Source organism: Homo sapiens, chromosome 12, assembly GCF_000001405.40.
Source record: "Homo sapiens chromosome 12, GRCh38.p14 Primary Assembly".
NCBI lineage: Eukaryota > Metazoa > Chordata > Mammalia > Primates > Hominidae > Homo > Homo sapiens.
The window spans coordinates 28,204,665-28,228,107 of NC_000012.12; the positions used below are offsets into that span (position 1 = coordinate 28,204,665).

Here is a 23,443-nt window from a genome sequence, read left to right on the forward strand (position 1 = left end):
TGTAGTTTTAAGCTAGGTATTTATTTACTTATTTGTTACCAGACAGGTGTCTCATGTTTGGGTGGTATATATTGCTGCCAAAGGCTCACCACAGAGTTGCTCAAGGTGAAGAGAGTGGGTTTCTAGAAGTACAGCTAATTCTTCTGTAGCGTCTAGTTAGTGTAAAATATAAAAAATCAACCAAATACATTTATACACAATTAAAGGAATACTTATACGCAATTATAGGAATTTAGTAAATAAAACTTTTTAGTATCATTGCTACCATGCATAATTAACATTTTTAAGATTTATTACGTATTTACTCAGTAGAGGAACAGAATCAGTTGACATTTCTTTAGGACCCTGACATTATGGCATATGAAGAATGTTGGGAGTGCCTAGATTGCCTGTTGGAAAGCCTTGGATTTTTAGTTAATGACTCGGCTAGTCTTCATAATGGTGAAGAGGAAAACTCTTTCAGATATTGCTCATAGGATGTCAGTTTTGTCAGGAATATGCTCAATTATAGAGAGAAAGGAGAGTGAAGAGAGAAGGGAGAATGAAGAGGGAAAGGCGAATGAAGGTGTGCTTCAGACTTTTTTTTTTTAACATGCAAGTCTAATAGTTATATTGAGTGGATTAAAGTCTATATGAATTAGAAGTCATTTATAGATACTGGTACTCAATTACATATTAAGTACAGAGGTAAAAAAAAATGACAGGTTATTCATACTAAAGTCAGGATGAGATGAAAAATGTGCTGAGTATACCAGCACTTTTAATTCAAGGAAAAATGAAAATGAGTGGTTAAAACAAGTGTTAAAAGAAAAACTTCAGCCAAATTAAATTTAAAGGAGTTTAATTGAGCAATGAACAATTTGCAAGTTGGGCAGCTCCCAGAATTACAGCAAATTCAAAGAGACTGTATTGCAGCCACACGGTGGAAGAAGTTTTGTAGACAAAAAAGAAATGACATACAGCAATTGGAAGTGAGGTATAGAACATTTGGATTGGTTCCCTTATTTGAACACAGTTTAAACACTCAGCAGTGTATGAATGGTTGAAGTCTTTCTGCTGGAATTGGCTAAGACTCAGCTATTGTTACAGACGCATACTCCTAAGTTAGGTTTTCAGTCTTGTCAACCTATTAAGTTAGGTTGCAGTTGGTCCACAAAGACTCAAATATACAAGTATAGAGTCCTTCTCAGGCCATATTTGGTTTGCTTTAGCAGTTCTCCCCTTTTGCTCATTTTCTCAATTTTTGAGAGATTGAGCACAACTTTAGTCATTAATGTCACAATCATTGTAGTAAATGTACTTATTTGGTCTTGAAACCCACCAGGAAACAGTAGAACAGTGAGTTTTGCAAAGGTAGGAACAAGAGTACCTCCTTATGCTGGAATGTCCTGTTTACAGGGGAAAAACAAACCAGGTCTGTTCTCCTGTAGGATCTATGTGTTTCCTTAAAGTCTTAGTTTGATTATGTCACATTCAGCATGAGCAACTCCAGTTTTGTTTGGTTTGGTCTGTTGGGGCCTAGTGAGTGAGCTCAGTCTAAAACAATGGCCACCCATAATTTTGTTTAAAAAAATTCCACCTTTTTGGTCAGGTTCTCAGGTGAGAGTGTGACCAAAACTTAGGGCCTTAGCACCACTCTCTGTTAACATCATTTGGGTTTCCAGTCTCAGCATGTCATTCATAGGTTACAGTATCCTCATGGTCACACATTTCTTTCAGCTCTTGTCATTCCACTTGAAGAGAGACCGTTAGATATTCTAGAGATGGCTGCATGCAAACATTTAAAACCTTTGAGAGAATACAGTGCACTAGGGAGACTATTATTATGACTACGGGAGGATAATACCAAGGGTTTGGAGTATGCTCCTTACCTAGGGTCCCCATAAACCAAACCTCCTAAACTCAAATAGATCAGAGAATGAGCTAGATAAAGAGTCTACTCACTTAACTAAGTAGTTTTTTCATTAATCCCCTGCAACTGAGTTTCTATAATACCTGATGTTTTCTCTATAGGTCGTAAGTGCCAGTGGCTGCAGGTACTTCTGTGTTTAGCCACTTAATACTATTTAGCATGACTTTTACAAGAGAATTTAAAGTCTGTTGTGTAACCCTAGCCTTTACAGTATATAAAGCCTATCATGCTATAGAGCCTATCATGAGGGATACATTTCTAATCATTGCCTCTTTTATTCCAAACCGTGGAAAAAGGACCTAACAAATGATGCCCTTCCAGGGAAGTGAAGGCCTCCAGGCAATGTTTTCTTTAACCTAGGTTGTGGGTTAAGAGGAGTGAATCAATGTTCTGTTTCTGACTGATTATGAGGCAAAGTTTCTCACTCACATTGGGCCTTCATCTTTTATCTCTCAAAGTGTAAGATTATCCATGTATAAGGCTGGCTGCAAAATTCTTCACAAATGAAAGTATATCCTGTAAGTGCATACAACAGACCTTTTTTCCACTTCTATTGTTCATAGAGACATAAGCAAGGAAGAAAATATTCAAAGATAAGAGTCTAATGATAGTAGAGAAATCTTAATCTGTGATCTTGGGAAAAGCTGTTCACATCAAGGATGCTGTCTTCTTCTGGGGAGAAACTTCTCTGGTTAGCTTTACCTTAAGGATTTCAATGGGTGTACAGTTCCAAGAGTGTGGAGGGACCCTTCTCAGTTGTGAGATTATGAACCCAAGGTTCAAGGTTCCAAAGTTTTGTTGCAGAATGGATGGCAAGGGCAGTCTTTCTCTGATGTTCTCAGAAGATCCAGTCTTTGGATTCTGAAGGGGTTAATTGTCCTCAAAACCATAAAAAGCTTTATTGACCTGATGAAAATACACTGGGCACAATAATTTCGTGTTATAAGATCAGTCCTCTTGCATGGGAAAGTTTGTATACAACCAGAAAACATGCATTGAAAATGACAAATGAAATCCCTTTATAAATGTTTAAATGGCCCATCAGGTAGGCAAATGTACCTGAAGCTTTGATTGTCTTCTGAAGAATATGGAATGGAACATTGGTTATAAACTATTTTCACAATTTATAAGTCACCACATCAATATATTTAATTTGGATCATTTTATCTTTTCCGTGATGAGTCATGGAATGCAGAACTTTTAATAATAAAAGGTTTAAGGACTCAATAAGGACAAGGCAGCTGTTCTGGTTTTTCATGAGTCCATGCTTAACATTGGACTTGATTCTCCAAATTAGGTGCATAGCACTGATAACTGATAGGTTATCATAGGTAATTTGACTTAGACCATGGATTTTATTCAAATTGTGTATCTAAATAATTTCAGTATTTGCTCATTTAGCATGAAAATCTGGCAAAGTATTTCCTTGGTATTTAATTAATTTTTGTTCTACTTGGATTAGCAGTTTTATAACCCAGTCAGTCTTTTCATTAAAGTTCCAGGAATTCTTACCCAGTTCAAATGACATGATTCTAAAGCTATTAGAAACCTGTATTCAAGAGTACTTTTCAGGGTCCTCTCCATCTTTCATGAACCTCCTGAAAGACGCCATGCTTTTGAAATTTTGAGAAACTGCATCAGCATTAAGCAATTAACTGTGGAAATGACTTTAAATAGTTATAATTAAAAACACAATTGACAAAGAAATTTGGTTATTTCTGTGGTCTACAATAACTTAACATAACTTTAATTATGATTGATAGCATATACTCAGACATAATAGAATTTTAGAAGTCCCATACAATTTTGGAACATATATTAATATAATTCACTAAAGTATAACTTGGAGACTAAACATTATTTTTATTTTGATAAAGTTTCCCATGTAACTTAACATGCCAAATAATCCTGTTTACCTGTCTCTTAAATGCTTCAGGGGCCCTCTGGAGCATTCCAAAGTTGGATGTCAGAAAAGACCATTTTAAAGGTGAAATTTGATTTTGAGAAGCCTATCAAATATTTTAAAGGTTTAAAATACTTGATATTATGAAATAGAATCCAGGTTACTGTAAGTCATTCATTTAGCCAAAATGATGATTTAAAAAATTTTTAAAAAGGTAAAAATCTTTACTCATTGATAGAGGGAAGACTTAACTTTTGTCTCTTGTCTTTCCCTTCCTTTTTGGTAGTTTATTCAAAAGGCAAAGAAAATCTTTCATTATTTTATTTTATTTTATTTTTTGAGATGGAGTCTTGCTCTGTCACCCAGGCTGGAGTGCAGTGGCATGATCTTGGCTCACTGCAAGCTCTGCCTCCCGGGTTCACGCCATTCTCCTGCTTCAGCCTCCTGAGTAGCTGGGACTACAGGTGCCTGCCACCATGCCCGGCTAATTTTTTTTTTTTGTATTTTTAGTAGAGATGAGGTTTCACCATGTTAGCCAGGATGGTCTTGATCTCCTGACCTCATGATCTGCCTGCCTCAGCCTCCCAAAGTGCTGGGATTACAGGCGTGAGCCACCATACCTGGCCCATTATCTTTTAATAGTTCATGAAAATATTGTTCAAGAGAGAAAGCCAAATTTCACCCTTGCATTAGTCTACTATTAATGTCAATCCCAATTTTTAATAAACCTTATAAACAAATCAATTCAATCTTGGTTTGACCATAAGGTGAGATTCTCATAAACCTTTTATAACCTTTTACAATTTTTGTGAAAGAGAAGGTTAGTGCTTTAAGAAAAACCCTGTTGTGCTTTTATTCCCATTTTCAATTTATGGAAAAGCTGAAAAATACCACTTTAAATTTGGCCAATGTGTTCACACACAGAATTTCTTTAATAACGTTAATTATTTATTATTTCTTCTTCTTCTTCTTCTTATTTTTTTGAGACAGAGTTTCACTCTTTCGCCCGTGGTGTGATCTCGGCTCACTGCAACCTCGGCCCCTGGGTTCAAGTGATTCTCCTGCCTCAGCCCTCCGAGTAGCTGGGATTACAGGTGCCCGCCACCAGGCCTGGCTCATTTTTGTATTTTTAGTAGAGACAGGGTTTCGTCATGTTGACCAGGCTGGTCTTGATCTCCTGACCTCAAGTGATCCACCTGCCTCAGCCTCCCAAAGTGCTAGGATTATAGATGTGAGTTGCTACACCCAGCTCAAGATTTTTTATAACACTTTCACAACTTGTTTAAAACTTTAGCTTTATCTAATTTTAAACAATCCTTTAACCCTTTAAACTTTGCAAAAATTTACATCCCATGCTTTCTTATAATCTTTTACCAAAACACATTTCATTCTCCTCATACTTTGCATGTAAACCTATTTTTTTCAGTAGTCTCAATTATATGTTAAAATGGTAATTCTTAGCAACTTTCACTTTTGGTGCATAAATTTCTTTTCATTAATCCTTTCATAACTTCCGTAGACCATCTACAACATGCTTGTACTTTCTGACTTGTCCTAAACATCCTTCTTTTTAAACAACCAGTCATTTTTTACTTTAGGACAATAATTTACCATACAAGATCCTTTCTTATATAAAATCTCTTTTCTTTATAACCCTCTTTGCATAGCTAGGGAACTTGGCTAATTCCATATGTCCCCAGGGCTTTAAAGTCAAGGCAGTGTATGACCTTAAAGCATTTAACAAACCTAGTATCTGACCTGAATAATTTAGATCGTATATCTTTATTTTTGCCAAAAATCTTTAAAATGTTTTATTTCCCAAAGATTACTAAATTCACTTGAACTAAAAGGCATTACAGTTTTTATTTTTCTTTCAAAATATTTAAGTGCCTATTTTTCTTTAAACCAATTAATTAGAGCTCTTTTATATAAACATTACACACACAACACATATATAACTGCACAGACAGAAGATTATTACAGTTGTTGTAAGTTTCTATTTACCAGTTTCTAAGTTTTTAAATTGGATTACTGGCTATAGGATGAAGTCTTTGGAAGAACAGGGCCAGGAAAGGGTCTCTGGTGCCTCCTGTTTTTCCCAAGGAGTCCCAGGCTGTTAGAGCTTGAATATCTGCTTTTAATTAAGCTGACTTTTAAGCATAGGACTCTTTAATAAAAGTTCTTATAAATTTTTTATTACCTGACTTTAGCCAGGACAAACAGCTGATATTTTTGTGTTTAAAGATAGAAAAATTGAAGATGATTTGTGGAGGGTAAGATAATTAAAAAATGGTAAAGGACACCCAAATATCAAGCAGAAAGTACTCATTGCCTAAGCTGGGAATTGCACCCTGAGCCAGCAGCCATTGTGATGGCAGAGACTGAGACAGTATTGCCAAATAGTTACAAAGTCAAGCTTCCAGGGACATACAAAACAAGACGGAGTCTCATTTATTATTATTTTTTTCTTTTTCTTCTTTCAGGTATCTGCAGCAAAGGTTATTACTGACCAGTTTGCTGGGCCATCTTGAACAGCGAGGCTTCCAGGGTTTTAGGCACGTATTTTGTCCTAAGGTACCCCTCTTTATGACAGAACAATACAGAAAGACTAAGCACACTAGATTCACTACAGCTTAAGACCAGCCTCAGAATTCTTTTTTGTGTTAATTAAAACTTCACAGAGGAGATAAACAGTGATTTTTACCATTCATTTAACCAGTTTGAACAGAGAAAAAGAGGCCAGAAATCTGAGTGGTAAGAAATTCTTACCCCTTTGCCAACATGCCAAGCCTCTGGGTTTCCTTTCCCTGAGTGGCCCTAGTGACCTGGCTCACCGCACCATAACCCTGAGGCCCAAGCCACAACACAAAGGAAAATTATCTTTTTCCATTCTGGCCAGTGCAAAATACGTGTGACAAAACATAGACATTAGCGAGTCTGCCTAGCACCCAATATCAGACTGGCAGGTTTCAAAATTGCCCCCAGATGGGCCCCATCATCCCTAAATCTTTTTTAGAAGCTTCTGCATATTAATAGGCATCCCTAGATGAGATTAATTTGGGAAACTTCATTTTTAAATGCACTTCTGTAGATTGTTGTTCACTTGGAATGTTTTACTGTAAGTTATGTTTAGTAAGATTTTGTCATTTCTGTAAGAGTTCGTTGCCTCTTGGGTCTAATGTGTAAGCTGGAAGGAACTCAGTTTTCTAGAAATTAAGGATCCCATTTTTTACCTAAAATGTTGGCTTTACTCTCAGGTTCTCTTGATTAACTTAGCCAGTTCTTTTTTTTTTTTCTTACCTAAGCACACCAGAAAAATGAAACAAAGGGGTAGAATGTAAAAATCCCTGTGTGAATTTTCAAATGCCAAATTTTATAACCCCTACAATATTACAGTTTGCTACCAGTTTCTTTGTGACCCAGTCAGATGTAAGAGGCCTCTAACTGGTCCCTAGCCAGTTAATTTCTGGATCAAATCCATTCCTGGACCCAGTCCAGTTTCTGTCATGACTTCCAAACCCAGTTTGGATTAGAAATTTGGTCAAAGAAACTCAGAGAGCTCAAAACACAAATCCATGGAGTTCTGAAATCCAAGAGAGAACTTACCGCAATCCCCAGCCACTGTGAGATCAGTGGACACAAATGGGTCCTGCAGGTACCTTGCTTGTTCACTCAGTGCTCCTGGGGGTCGTTAGAAGCTCTGCTTTGGATCCCGCTTCTGACACTATCTGTTAAAAGTGAAGCTTCAGCCATATTAAATTTAAAGGAGTTTAATTGGGCAATGAACGATTTGTGAATTGGGTAGCCCCCAGAATCACAGCAGATTCAAAGAGACTCCAGTGTGGTGGCCACATGGTGGAAGATTTATAGACAAAAAAAGGAAATGAAGTACAGAAATGGGAAGTGAGGTACAGAACAGCTTGATTGTTTACAGGTTGGTGTTTGCCTTATTTGAACACAGTTTGAATGCTCAGCAGTGTATGAATCATTGAAATATGGCCACTGGGATTGGCCAAGACTCAGCTCTTTTACAGGCGCATACCCCTAAGTTAGGTTTTCAGTCTTGTCAACCTATTAAGATAGGTGCAGTTCATCCACAAGGACTCAGATATAGAAGTATGGAATCCCTCTCAGGCCATATTTAGTTTTCTTTAACACAAGTTTTCTATCATCTTGGGAAAATGTGAGCAAACTAGTTATTTATGTGTTTCCCTTGGTGAACAAGTCCGTTTTTTATTAATGAGGCACTACTAGCAGACCTTTGATTGATGCATAAGCAAAGATTTACTAACTGCCAAAACTGAGTCTATGAAAGTTAAATAATGGAGAACTGAGGTATGTTGAGAAGCAAAATTCAGTTTAATAGAAATCTTTATTTGAGTCCTGACTATATTTCAAGTACCTGTACTAGGCATTGGGGGATACAGGAGTAAGTGCCACTCTGGGTCTTCAAAGACCTCACAGTCAATTATTTAAGAGTTTTAATAAACAAATAAGTTATAGTGAGTTTATTGATTGGGAAGGAATGGGATCTTGAAAATTGGAATGGGGATGCATGGAAAGACCCTGATGAAGCTGGGGACTTTGAATCCCTAAATTCTGATGAGTCTTCTTTGCCAGTTGAAGAGACCCCCACACACCTAGTGGGAATGGCCTCTTTACCCACCTCCCCTCTGCCCCTCCTTTCCCCCCAGGGGAATTAATTCTGCATTGCCCAAGCAAACTGTAATGGCTTTCCCTGAGGAAGTTGGCATGCAAGACAATTCTCAAGACCTCTCCCCACCGACTCCTCTTTGTTTCTAGACCTATAACTACACTCAAGTCTTAGTAGGCCCCTAAAGATGAGGCACAAAGTGTGACCCATGAAGACATGTACTACACTCTGAAATAAATGCTTAAGTTTTCTATTTATACAGACAAAAGTCCAGAGAACATGTGTGATCATGCATATTAAGGGTATAGGATAATGTCAGAAGGAACATAAAGCTGGATCAGACCAAATCTATTGATATGGGCTCACTAAGCAGAGATTCTGCAGCTTGGGGAATTATAAAAGGCTCTAACATTTTGTTTTCTTAGTTTGCTCCCATCATGAAAGGGACAGTGTTTTGTTCTTATTCCTGCTGGAGTAGACATTGAATATAGATTTCCTTTCCCTGCATGCATTGCTTCTGCCAAAACTACCAGACATGGATTTAAAGAATACCTTATCTACTATCATGGTATTAATATTACACACAGCATTATTTCTGATCAAAGAACTCACCTCACAGCAAAAGAAATGTGGCAGTGGGCCCATGTTCATGGAATTGACTGGTCTTAAGATGGTCTCTACTGTAGTGAAACAGCTGACTTGATAGAATGGTGGAATGGCTTTTTGAAGACTCAATTATGGTGCCAGCTTGGTGGCAGTGCCTTGAAAGGCTGGTGCAGGATTCTCCAGAAGGCTGTATATATGCTGGATCAGTTTCCAATATATGGTGCTCTTTCTTCCATTGCCAGGATTCATGGATCCAAGAATCAAGGGGTGGAAACAGGAGTGGCACCAGTCATTATTATCTCTAGTGACTTGCTAGCAAAATTTTTGCTTCCTGTTCCTGTGAACTTATGCTTTGATGACCTAGAGATCTTAGTTCCAGATGGTGGAATGCTTTTACCAGGAAATAAAACAGTGATTCAGTTGAAATGGAAGATTCTAGCCTGGTCACTTTGGACTCCTCATATCTCTGAATCAATAGGCAAAGAAGAGAGTTACTGTGCTGGCTTGACTGATTGATCTTAACTACCAATGAGAAATTAGATTGCTGTTCTATAATGGAGGTAGAGTATGTCTGGAATACAGGGTATCCCTTAGGATGTCTTGGTCAGTGGAAAACTGACCAACCCAACCCAACCCAAGCAGGAGTACTATGATCCAGATCCTTCAGGAATGAAAGTTAGGGTCACCCCACTGGGTAAACAGTCACAACCAGATGAGGTGATTGGTGAAGGCAAAGCAAATACAAAATAGGCAGTGGAAGAAGATAGTTATTAATACCAGCTATTAATACAGAAACAAGGCCTGTAATTGTCATGTGTATTTCCATCTTATTTTGTTATGTTTGTGTGTGTGTGTGTGTTTGTTTTCTGTCCTCTTTTATTCCCTTGTCATGTAATATAAGATAGTTCGACTATATATAATAGTATTTAAGTATTGTTTGCTTTACATCATAGTGTTTAAATTACAGGATATCAAGGGAAATAGAAATGTCATTCAAAATCTTTACTTCCTCTTCTTGGAAAGGGGCTAATACATTTCCAGTTGTAGTCAGGATAGTTGCATCACGTTAGGTGGAATTATGACCTTGTTATTTTCTTTATTTGGAGACTAAATATGATTTGAGGAGGTGCAGATGTGTGCCAAGTGGACTTGTGATGCTTAATTTTATGTGTCAACTTGACTAGGCCATGAGGTACTCACAGATTTGATTAAACATTATTCTAGGTATGTCTTTGAGAGTATTTTTGGATATTAACATTTGAATTGGTAGACTGAGTAAAGCATATTTTCCTCCTTAATATGGGTAGCCCTCATCCACTCAATTGAACATGTGAGTAGAATGAAACAGTTGTATAATAAGAAACTGCTACTTCTTGACTGCTTGAGCTGGAATGCCAGTCTTCTCTTGTACTTGGACTGTAACTTACACTATTGGCTTTTCTAGTTCTCAGGCCATTGGACTCAGACTAGAACTTACACCATCAGCTTTCCTTGTTGTCAGGCTTAACATTATTGATTCTCCTAGCTTTCCAGCTTGCTGACTGCATATCTTTGGACATCCTGGCTTCTATAATCTTGTGAGCCAATTTCTGAAATTAATGTTTCTCTCTTTATTTATATACACACATATACCTCCTCTTAGTTCTCTTTTTCTGGAGAACCCTGATTAATATGCTTACCAAAAAAGTAGAAAATTAGTTGATTATTTCCTCTTCCAGTATAACCAACAGTTTGTGGTTGGCATGATGTAATGTCAGATATGAAGCTAATAAAATTTTGAAATAATGTAGGATTATCTTACCACTGTATCTATTAAGAAGAGTGGCCTTTAGCTTACTTCATAATTTGCCTTTATTCTTTGTGGTATCCCAAAGGCAACTTAAGAAATAAATGACTAAATACTATGTAAAAGGAAGATGAAAAAAAGTGAAATGCTTAAAATGCCTAGTACAAGCAGAATTTATAGTAAATATTTTAGAAAGCCAGACATAGACAGAAGCAGTGGATGTACACTGTCAAGTATATGAACATTTAACAAAAGTGACACATACCTGCTGTGGCTTCAATATATTTGGTAATTCTCAGGAATTGATACATCTTTTTTAATTTTCACCACAATGCCATTTTAGATTATTGAAGATAGTCATTATGCCCGTTTTCCCTGTTGAGGGCTAAAATGTTAATCAGATATACTGGTTAAAGATTTAATATACTTAAAATGGAATCTTATGCTGAATAATGCTGCTTAAATTAAAAAGAGAGGAGAAACCCATCAATAGCAATACTTAGTAGTACTTAATCGTTGTTGTTTTGTTTTTTTAAGTAAAGAAGGAGTAATCATGAAGACTCTAGGATTTCCTCTTTGATCAAAAGCTTTTAGGAGAAAAGAATGATCCTTTGGATATTTTCAGCATTTAAAGCTGTCTAATTACCATACATTCTTTCCATTGTGATTGTGTAGCAATGCTGAGGTTTGGAATTATGCAGATCATTTAAGCTTTCTTTGTTGTTCATCAACTCTCACTAGAATCCTTTCTCTGTGTTTCTCACGTTGGATTATATAGCAAGCTTTTGTTGGTTCTTAGCTTTAGAAAATGTAGTCATTTTCTAAGCACAGCAAATATGTATTTCTCTTGCAATTCAGTTACTTTAACATGGTTTCAGTAAGTAAAATAAAATATATATAGTGCCTCAAAAATATCACAGAATTCAGTTATGCTACCGAGAAAGTTGTGCCATCTTTTTGGGAACTTATGTGTAATGAACTGGTGGACTTTGTCTACTCTCCCGGAGGAAGGTAATCATAATAATTGAATAAAACACCATTAATTGGTTTTGTATGTAGAGAAGTTGGGGTGTGTGTTTGTGAGTGTGTATAAACTGTAGCATTCTTTTTATATAGTTATATATTTTTTATTCATTCTTAAAATAAGGTAACAGGCAATCGTTGAGAGCAGTGTTCTTATAATTGCTCTCTTCATCTATGAAACTGAAATTTCTTGATGGCTTTAAGTGTGTTTGTTCAGGAGAGAAAATCGTTGTGAGGGAAGTAAATAGAATGTTACTTTCATGTTAAGGGATTCTTTGTTTTAGCCTTTTAGAATATAAACATCAGAGAATATCATAAGCATCAGGGAATCACTTGTAATGATGGTAAAGGAACCAACACTTCAGAGAATTGCACTTACACTTAAAGACCTGTCAGAGAATGTTTAAAATTAGAAACAACTTAAATGTGTATGAACTAGTATATGGATAAAGGAATTACAGTACATTCGTATAATACTACTCAGCAATAACAATGAACATTATTACTACTGCTTCCCTGTTACCCATAGTGTACACATCTTCCCTTATAATAAGGAAATTACGGCCCGAACTAATCTCTTAACATGCTACTAGGAAATATGCAAAAATGAGCAAGATGGTAGTATTGTGGTACTGACAACAGAGGTGCTAGAACAGATTAGAATACATAATTGAATATGTGTACGTGTAAACACACAGAATATATGTATATGTAAACACACATATTTGAAAATTTTAATTCATTATATCCTTTAAATATCCTGGGGTGGTAGTAGTTTGCAAATGAGCTAAGTTTAGTTGAACATATTTGAGTTATACGTAGCTTGTGGAAAAATTTTAGGAAATTTTCCGAAACAGCAATTTTGAACTGACTGCTCAAGCTTGTATTCATTTTTATAGGTAGACTTCAGATGTTTTCCCATGTATTTGAGAAGTTGAAGTCAGTAAGTGAATCAAAAGATATTAAGCATTTATTAATTATTTTTCTGTGCCACAAAGGGACAGAATTTTTAGAATTGCTGGAGAAAGGCAGAAGACAAGACTGTAAAGGTAAATATGAACCAAATTGTGAAAGGACTGTAGGATTTCATGGTAGGAATAGATTACCAACAGCAGAGTGGGAGAAGTAGGTAAGTATGGGCATGATGAAGGCGACCCTAGGCAGGCTAGGATAAAACTCTATGTAATCATTATTTTATGTAACTACCTGAAAAAAAAAATAAGGCTTTAGTTTGGATGCAGGGTGGTGGTATGCTCTTATTTTCAAATTAAAAGTAAGATACAGACTTTTACTAAGCAGAAAGATGATTATAATTTGGAAGAACCTGATAACTTTCACTATCCGTGGCAGCCTGGTTTACTGTAGAGAGCTTAAAAAATCTTGATGTAGGTGACATCCTTTTCTTACTTATCATCTAAGGTTGTCTTCCTGTTTACCTATTATAACTGTCCCCTCCTGTTCCAGTCTCATTCATTTTCTAGTTTGGTGACTCCTTGCTCTGTTCTCACTTCCTCCATCCTCCGTGTTTGATCCCTTTAGATATCCTTTTTTTAAGCTTACTTGCCTGAGACACTTTACATACACATTGCACATCTTTTTCCCCTAATATCTTACTCCTTTCCCCTTTTGATTTTGGTAGCTACTGTAGTTCTGCCTAAGAGATAATCTTTTTCTCTGGGCTTTCAAGGGAATGCGCATTCGACTGTTGGTCTACTGTGATCTTTCTACTCCCATTCCTGCTAGAGGAAGGGATTTAGCACTAGTGACAAGCATAGAGGCTGTGATAAAAGTCTCTAATAGAAAGCTCGTTTTCATTACTTCTTTCTGTATATCATAGTGATTTAAAAATCATTTTAAATTTAGGTGTATAAACAATTAAAATCACCAATAACTCCTCAAGCTGGAAGACAAAATTAAAAAAAAAAATCACCAATATTAAGTATGTAATTTGATGACTTTGACAAATATTTACATATGAGAAACCACTACCATATTATATGGAATATTTAATCACTGCAGAATGTTCCCTTGTGCCTCATAAGACTAGACCCCGTCCCACCACCTCTGGTCCCTGGCAACCACTGATTTGCTTTTGGTCACTGAAGTTTTGCCTTTTCAAGAATTTAATATAAAAGGAACATTGCAGATGTTTGTGTGTGTGTGTGTGTGTGTGTGTGTGTGTATGTATGTATGTGTGTGTGTACGTATTTGGTTTCTTTGACTTGGTGTAATGAAGATTCTTTCATATTGTTGCATATATAAATAGGTTTGTTCGTTGTAATTGCTGAGTAACATTGTATGGATGTACCATTATTCCTTTATCCATATACTAGTTGATACACATTTGAATTGTTTCTAGTTTTAAACATTCTCTGACAGGTCTTTATGTGGACATATGTTTTCTCTTAGGTCAATAGCTTGGAGTAGAATTCTTGGGTTGTGTGGCAAGTGTATGTTTAACATTATACACAATTGCCAAACTTTTCCAAAGTGGCTGTATCAGTTTACATTCTCACTAGGTTACATGAGAATTCTAGGTGCTCCATATTCTCACCAACACTTGATATTGTGAATCTTTTTAAGTAGCCATTTTAGTAGATTGTACTGGTACCTGCATTTCAGTTTTAATTTACATTTTTCTAATTTCTAATGATGTTGTACGTCTTTTCATGTGCTTAATTGAGATTATTAGATCTTTTATAAAGTGTCTATTAAAATATTTTACCAATAAAAAATTAGGTTATCTTATTATTTATATGTAAGCTTTCTTTTTATATTCTGGATATAAGACCTTTTCAGATAGGTTTGTCAAATATTTTAGTCCAATCTGTGGCTTGCCTTTTTATATATTCTCAACAGTATACATTTTTAATTTTAAAATTTGGCAAAATATACATAACAAAATTTACCAGTGTAACCATTTTTTTTTTTTTTTTTTTTTGAGATGGAGTCTCACTCTTTCACCCAGGCTGGAGTGCAGTGGCATGATCTGGGCTCACTGCAAGCTCTGCCTCCTGGGTTCATGCCATTCTTCTGCCTCAGCCTCCCAAGTAGCTGGGACTACAGGTGTCTGCCAGCACACCTGGCTAATTTTTTGTATTTTTTTAGTAGAGACGGGGTTTCACTGTGCTAGCCAGGATGGTCTTCATCTCCTGACCTCATGGTCCTCCTGCCTTGGCCTCCCAAAGTGCTGGGATTACAGGCGTGAGCCACTGCGCCCGGCCCCCATTGTAACCATTTTTAAGTGTACAGTTCATCAAAGCTTAGGAGATATGTATACATTTGAATATTATAGTATCTTGATTAATTTATCTGTCATTATGAAATTTCTCCCTTTAATATTCTAATTTGTATAATATGAATATAGACATTTCAACTTTCTTTTGATTGATGTTTGCATGGTGTATCTTTTCAACCCTTTAATTTTATCTCTTTTGTGTTTTCATAGTAAAAGTGGTTTTTTTGTATGTGGCATACAGTTGGGTCTTGCTTTATCATTCAGTCTGCAGTGTCTGCTTTTAAATTTAGTTGTTTAGACCACTTACACTTAATGCAATTATCATTACATGGTTGAGTTTAAATATATCATTTTACTATTTGTTTTCCTTTTTTTCCTTCTGCTTTTTTCCTTCTTTACTGATTTATATTGGGTTTGAGGATGCTTTTAATGATTTCATTTTAGACCGATTATGGACTTCCTAGGTGTATATCTTTGCTAATTAATTAATTAATTAATTAAATGCTGTAATGTCTACAATATACATCTTTAACGTATTAGTCCACTTATCAATATTTTTCCGTTTTATGTACAGTGTAAGAACTTCACAACAATATGCTTTTATTTCATCTCTCATTGTGGTATTGATATGCAATTTACTTCTACATATTCTATAAAGCCAACAATATGTTTTTTAAATTATTACTTTATATATTCAGTTATCTTTAAATTTTTAGATTTACCCACCTGTTTGCTATTTCTGGGACTCCTAATTTCTTTTGTGTAGATTCAGATTTCAATCTGTTTTTGTCTTTCTTCTCCCTGAAGAAATTTCCTCAATATTTCTTTTAGTACAGGTCTGGTGGCAAATAATTCTCTTACCCTTTGTTTATCTGAAAAAAAAAATTCCTCTTCAATTTTTAAAGGTATTTTCTCTGGGCAAAGAAGTCTATACTGCCATGTGTTTTTTCCTCTTTAAGTTGAAAGACATATCTCCATTATATTCTGTTTTACATGGTTCTGGCAATAAGCCTACTTTTATTCTTATTTTAGTTCTTTTGTATATAATGTGTTCTTTTTTTCTGGCCTAAATACAAATATTCTCTTGTATTAGTTTTCTGTAATTAGATTATGATGCGCATTAGTATGATTTCTTTATGTTTGTTCTTTCTCGCTATTCTTTAGCTTCTTGGGTCTCTGGTTTTATAGTGTTCATGAAATTCAGAAAATTTTCAGCCATACTTTTAAAATAATTTCTTCTGTATCTTCCCTTTTTGGGGGCCTCCAGTTACACATGTTTTAGACCACTTGAAATTATCCATTTTTTCTCAGTATTTTTTCCTCTCTGTACTTTATTTTGAATAGTTATACTATTGCTGTTTTTTTAACTTCATGATCTTCCACAGTGTTTAATATGCTGTTAATCTCATCTTTTATGTTTTTTGTTTCAAAGTTCTCCTCTGTAAGTTTCATTTGAAACTTTTTTATATCTTCCATGCCTCTCATCATCATGACCTTTTCTCTGCTTTCTTAAAAGTTATAAAGCATATTTATAATAGCTGCTTTTATGTCCGCTGATTCTCTCCATCTCTCTCATTTCTGTGTCTGTTTCTATCAAGTGATTTTTCTCCTGGTTATGCGTTATAGTTTTCTGATTCTTTATATGACTGTTATTTCTTTATTAGATCTCAGGCATTTTGAATTGTTTTTTGTTGATTGCTGAATTTTGTTGTTTTAAATAGTTTTGTATTTTGTTCTGACTCTTTGTTATGTCACTAGCAATCAGTTGGATTATTTTGAGGCTTACTTTTAAGATTTGTTAGCATGGCTCCAGAGCAGCCTTTTGTTTAGGTCTAATACAGCCCCACTACTAAGGAGATACCCTCCTGAGGATTCAGCTGAATGCTCCATATATTACTAGGTTTATCCACTCTGACTGATAGGAATACAAATTCTTGCCAGCTATGTGTGAACTCCAGATAATCTGTTCACTCACTTTTGTTGTTCTTTTCCTGTCCTTGGGTAATTTTCTCCCACGTTTATGTAGGTTAGAACTCAGTTTAAGACTTGAGAAGACCTTTCTTTCTCTGGAGCTCTATTTCTCAGATGCTTGGACTTGTAAATTTTAGCTGCTTTGTGAACTCTTAACTCTGCCCCTTTAGCTCAGTGAGAGGTCAGTTTTACTTGGCTTCCCCCACCATACTCTTTGGCCTGGAAACTGACTCCAGTTTGTAAGTTTGGGAGTTATAACTTTGTTTCGTTTCTTTTGGGAATCACAATTTTGTGCTGTTGTCCAGTACTTGAACATCATTATTTCATCTTGTACATCCTTTGTTCAGTTTTCTAGTTGCTTTTTCTCATCTATTGTTCATTTTTCTAGTTGCTTAGAAACTAGAGGTTAAATCTGGTCTCTGTGTTTCCACTTTGGTTGGAAGTTAAATGCTATCTGTATACTGTAATTCATATTTCCTTCCAACCTTTATCATAATTTTACTTTGAAGTAACCACAGTGTAGAACCACAGGGGTGGCGGTGGTGGTGGTGGTGCTGGTGCTGGTGAGATGTCTGTGAGTAAGCTATTGGTGATATGTAGGAAGTATATGTTTTAATTTTTCATTTACTCTGTTCATCTTTTATGATACTTTATAAAGTAAATCTTGTCACCCTGTCTATAAATCTTTGCATAAAATGTATACACTAGGGATATGTACTATATTTTTTGGTAGTTCCTATATTTTAGACTTCTCACTTCCTATTTTTACTAAGCCTTGAAAAACCAGGCATTTCTTACTTCTGTATCCATAATAAATCATGGTATTCAGCTGCTACTTAGAATACAGTTGTTTTACCATAGAATGAATTTTGGTGTACAAATTTTATGTTTGGTTAGTTAGAGATCCTCAGTATAGTTATAGAATTTCCCTTTTCGTTTTCTGAAATGGATCTAATTTGGTCATTTTTTAAATCTGTATTCTTTCTGAGTAGGTGACAATCCTAGGGCTTTTCATCCTTGGCATTATTATCCTTTTCGTTGTGTTGGAACTATATAAGATAGCTACAACTGCACTTGGGTGGCTCTTAGTACTTTGGTCTTTTTAGGATTTATATATGTGGTAACAAATACCACCAGTAATATCATCTCTAAAGGTTGAAGACTATAGATACATAGAATTTAAAATTGTTTCTTTTGTGAACTCATCTATTTTTCCATTCTTCTTATTTCTTCTGGAAATTATATGTGTTCTTTAAGGGTATGCAGGGTCTGACAAGGTGAGCTTCGCCAGCCTATCCAAGGGTGAAGTCAGCACCTTACATAAAACCAAAGTAGAGGGGGAAAAAACCTAGTCAATTTTAGTGGCAATATGGCAGGAAATTGAAAGTGTGATGAAGCCTGTGTTTGCACATAAAGGTGAACTTGCAGCTCTTGCATGTTTCTGGGTTTTATGGTGTTCTTATCTCTCGTAGGGACAATATAAGCCATGGTTAAAGATAATCCTTTACTTATTTACTTAAAGGAGTAGGTGGACAGTTGGTGATGCTGAGGGTCAAGGTAAACTTTCTGTTTTCTGTTAACATATCTAGTACCTGTCTGATATTTCCATATGTAAATGAGTTTCTTTGTCATCTTTGCATTATACTCTAGGCAATGCTACATGCTAGCCTGACTGTGGTTTCATTTGGCTTCCTTTTTCTGAGTCTCTATACCTGTTCAGTGTACTTAGCTTCTAGCGTTCTGGTGCAACTACCTGGCACTCATTTCTTGCTTTCTCCTTTTGACTGTCTCTTAAACAATATTGTCTCCTGTATATTTCTTCCTTTCTCTTTTGAAACTTACCTCAATATTTTATATCTGATGTAATATCTCACTAGGCTATTATTATGTAATTTGATAAATTGAGTAATTGTAATGTATTAGTGATGCTGCTACTGATGCAAAATCAGTTTTAGGAGGTGTTAACTTATACTATTGTAGCGTTAAGCACTTTTGAGTTAGATTTAATTTAATTCATTTTATCTTCAGAGCCAATTTTTAAGCTTTATCTAGAGTCTTACTGTGAGGAAAAGAAATGTCTTCTTAAAAGAAGTAGGCTTTTAAAACTGTAAGATTCTCCTTGGAGAAAATTATTTCTCTTGAAACTCAGGCCATTGGAGGTATGTTTGCAGTGTTTCCTTGGTAGTTCTAAATCAGGTATTTTCATGGATAGTCTGCTTGTCTCAGAAAGCCTAAAGCGGAGTCTTTTACTTGGGGAATGCTTAAGTGCTCCACAAATCAGTGACCAGAATCGTTTCATTTTGTGCCCATGTGGTTTCTGTGGGTGGTTGGTTGTTTTAAAAACTGTTTCAAAGAAGTACATTTTTTTTCCTGGCAATACATGTGTATCCTGTGTAAGTATTTTTCATTATTAATAATTTTGAGAAAAACCAACTCCAGGTCATAATGCAGTTGGCTTAAGTCATGGGGTTTTATCCAGAGTCATCCCATATGATTTTGGGTCTGCTTTACCAACAATTTATTAAGCTGAGGTTCCCAAAGGGCATGTTTCTACTGTCATCAACCTATTTTTGGAAATTATTTTTGTCCATTTTGTGTAAATCAATAGTTTTTAAGAGAAACTCATGAGACTTTTAGGCTTAATTTCTTCTAGGCTTATATACTGGTATAGGGGGGAGTATTTCCTCCCTTTTTCTTTCTCTCTGTATAGAAATTTCCATTTCTGTTTGTGACTTGTTTGTGATTCCAGCTTTTTCATTGTGCTTTGATTTTCATCTTCTTCCTCATTTAGGCTTAGTGGTTAGAAATCTTGTCTTTAATTGAATCTCAAAGTGGTTAAGTTTTTGTCATTTTGCGTTTTCCTGTCCAACAGGGAGGGTTTGCATCTGTAGGTACACTGAAATCTTTAATAATGAACTTGGGTTTAAAGAGAAATTGAATTAAATTCTTGAGTTATTTCAGAAGTTGTAACATCATGCTATTCACATTTCTGGCCACAGTGAAAGTTTTTGTGAAAGTGAAGTTTTGTAGGAAAAAGCTTAATGTGTCAACAGCCCATAGTCTTGGAGTGGATCTTTAGGAATTGGCTAGCGCAGAATTACAACGGTAAATAATCTGTGTAAATTTTCTAGCTAACAAGTGAATATTATTTTTAATTAGGAAATAACCAGGAATAAGACTTGAGAGATCATCTCTCCTAACTTACTTATTTAAGAAAGGAGGAAATTGGACCCTAGATATTAGGTGACCATCTTCAAAAATGGTGTAATTTAGTTGAAGAATTAGGACTAGAGCCCCATGCCCTGATGCCAAGTTTAGTGCTCTTTCCACTACCTTGGGATCTCTTCTCATCCTATTCCAACAAAATAAGAGTTTAAAGTGTAAGATACAAGATTCTGCTTTGAAAATATCCAAATACATTGTATTTTTGCAATATAAAATTGGAGTGATGAGAGAAAACTTATAAATTCTTGTGCCATTTTCCCCCTTGATCTGTGAAACAGTACTGATAGTATCTGAGGTTGTCATTTGGTTATTTTAGGAAGGAAATTGTATGGCCCTTATTTTGTTTGAATCTCTTCTTCATCATATTAAGGTAATTTTTAAAAGTTCTTGAGCTAGAAAAACATGCAAATAAGAACCTCCTGTATTGGCTGCTGTTGACTGCCTATTTAGCATTACCCCTTTTCCCACTACCCCCTTTTTTTTTTGAGACAGAGTTTCACTCTTTTTGCCCAGGCTGGAGTGCAGTGGCATGATCTCGGCTCACTGCAACCTCCGCCTCCTGGGTTCAAGTGATTCTCCAGCCTCAGCCTCCGGAGTAGAGTGGCTTGGATTACAGGCACCTGCTACTACACCTGGCTAATTTTTGTATTTTTAGTAGAGATGGGGTTTTGCCATGTTGGCCAGGCTGGTCTCGAACTCCTGACATCAGGTGATCCGGCCTTCCTTGGCCTCTCAAAGTGCAGGGATTACAGATGTGAACCACCACGCCCAGCCTCCCACTACCTTTCTAACAGATCCTTTGTTTTGTTTAGGCTTCTAACCCTCCTTTATGTGACTCAGAGAAAGGAGACCTCATTCCAAGTTCCAGGATTAATTCTGGTAAGTCTAAGTGAAACATAGTAATTCCTTTTCTTTGCTGGCAGCAGGTTTAAGGATGGGCAGATCACAATCTCAAAATATTTTTGTCATCTTGCTTCCAGCCTGTTGGTGAAGCTAAATATAGGAGGCCAGAGCCAAGGGAATTAGAATTTCTGAAGCTCTGACTTGCAGTATTTAAAGACTGCTCTACCTTGGGCCTTCTTGTTATGTGAGATACTAGTTATACATCTCCTTATTGATTTAACCAGTTTTATTTTGGAATTTTCTGTTACTTCCAGATGAAAGTATTCTGTCTCATGCATCTAATACTTTACTTGTGAATGAAGATTCATTATGAGGTAGGTTTTTGGCGATTAAATGGTTGTGACTGGAACAGGGAAGACTATTAATAGATTGGAAACTAGGAGAATCTTTTATGAGATTTTTAACTGGGTGAATAACAAAGTCGTGGTTCATATCCTTGTAGCTCCACCTCGTTTCTTTTCCCAGTGACGTCTTAAATTCTGTGGATTCTATTTGTTCCTTATCCTCTTTGACCTCTATGACATATGTTAGATCTGTCTATATCTTTCTGTATTTCTGGTCATACCTTTTAAATTTTATTTACTGACCTATTTTCCTCTGCTTATCTCTTGAATAGTAATGGTTTTCTGTGGTTTTATTCTTGGCCTACTTAGAAATATAAACATTATTATTTAGAACAGTTTTATCTTTATAGAAAATTATGACAATAATATAGAGAGTTCTCAGAAACCTCATACCTTTTATTAACATTTTACATTATTGTACATTTGTTTAAATGAATGGCCAATATTTATACATAATTATTAACTAAAGTCCATTCTGTATTAATATTCCCTTTATTTTTATCTACTGCCCTTTTTCTGTTCCAGGTTACTGTCTAGGTTATCATACATTTAGTGGTCATATCTCCTTAGGCTGCTCTTGGCTGTGACAGTTTCTTAAACTTTACTTGTTTTTGATGACCTTCACAGTTTTAAGGAGTATTGGTCAGACATTTCCTGGCTGTGGTGGTTTCTTAAACTTTACTTGGTTTTGATGACCTTGACAGTTTTGAGGAGTATTGGTCAGACATTTTGTAGGTTATTCCTCAGCTGAGATTGATATGATGTTTTTCCTCATGATTAGACTGGGGTTAGGGTTTTTAGGAGGAAGAGCATAGAGGTGAAGTGCCATTTTTATCACATTGTATCAAGGGTACTTACTATCAACTTATCATTGTTAAGCTGTGACTTATTGTGACTTATCATTGTTGATGTTTACTTTGATCATTTGGCTAAGGTGGTTTTTATTAGGCTTCTTCACTGGAAAGTTATTCTTTTTCTCTTATTCTGTATTGTACTCTTTGCAACAAAGTCACTATGTGCAGACCACACTTGATGGGGAGTTATTTTCCACCTTCTTGATAGTGAAGTAGCTACATAGATTTTTTTGGAATTCTTCTGCATGGATGATGACCATGGATATTTATTTTCTACTTGGCTTGGCCAGTTTTAAAATTGTTGATGTATGTTGGTGATTTCTAAATATGTTTATCCTAGCGATTCTTTCTACCTCTTTTTTTGAACTCTTTCTCTTTCTAGTCAACTTCCTATTAGACCTTTTCCTTTTGGTCTTTCTTTTATTGAAACCTCGAACTCAAATGTGTCCATATTGTCTAAGCCCAAACTAATTATTCTACACCTCATCTACTTCATTTTATGCCTTTTTGTACCCAAACTTGCTTTTTCTTCCCACTTACTGAAGGTAGAAACCGATGGGATCCTTTAGTTTTCCTTTTCCTTATTCACACTCCCTTATTACCTCTTACTTTGGATTATTAGTTTATTGCATAGATTTCCCTCAAACTAGCCTATTCTACTTTCACACTGTTATCTACATTGCCTTATAGCCATTTTTTTCTATTATGCATGTCACTTATTCAAAATACATCTTATTTCTGTTTTCAGAATTCTTCAATGAGTTCTGTGTTTGCCTCTAACTGATTTTAGGTAAATTACTTGATCTCACTATAGCATTGTTTTCTTATTGAAAAAGAGGAGGTGATATAGAAATTTTCTAAGGATTAAAAGTGATAGCGTGTCTAAAGAGTTTAGGAGTGTGTCTGGAACAAAGTAGTACACTCTAAAAGACAGTTATTTTTATTGTTCTTTGCCTCCTTCCAAACTCCTTATCATGACTTTTCATAATTTTGCTTCTAGCCACCTATCTAGTAACTTCATTTG

The 23,443-nt window shown here is 35.6% G+C and overlaps 1 protein-coding gene across 34 annotated transcripts in view, besides 1 other annotated feature; it reads left to right on the forward strand.

Moving 5' to 3' along the window:
* The window catches only part of CCDC91 (coiled-coil domain containing 91), a 359,711-nt gene that overhangs the window by 14,209 nt on the left and 322,059 nt on the right, over positions 1–23,443 (forward strand). For 10 of the 34 annotated variants that reach the window (XM_047429089.1, XM_047429082.1, NM_001387000.1 and 7 more), the window contains exons 2-3: positions 21,131–21,197; positions 21,476–21,535. The exons of 10 other annotated variants lie outside the window; for them this stretch is intronic. The gene's annotated coding sequence lies outside the window, so the exon portion shown is untranslated. Of the gene's footprint in view, positions 1–3,848; positions 3,900–6,298; positions 6,371–21,130; positions 21,198–21,475; positions 21,536–23,443 lie in introns of all 34 variants that reach the window. 14 more of the 34 variants (NM_001352086.2, XM_024449033.2, XM_024449037.2 and 11 more) reach the window with 5 other exon arrangements.
* Positions 22,524–22,693: an enhancer, noted in NCBI's record as "experimental_27354 CRE fragment used in MPRA reporter constructs". NCBI's record gives its function as "activates a minimal promoter by MPRAs in K562 erythroleukemia cells, with activity observed for the non-introgressed 12:28380206 variant allele {active_cell/tissue: K562}" and the evidence as "EXISTENCE:reporter gene assay evidence [ECO:0000049][PMID:34662402]".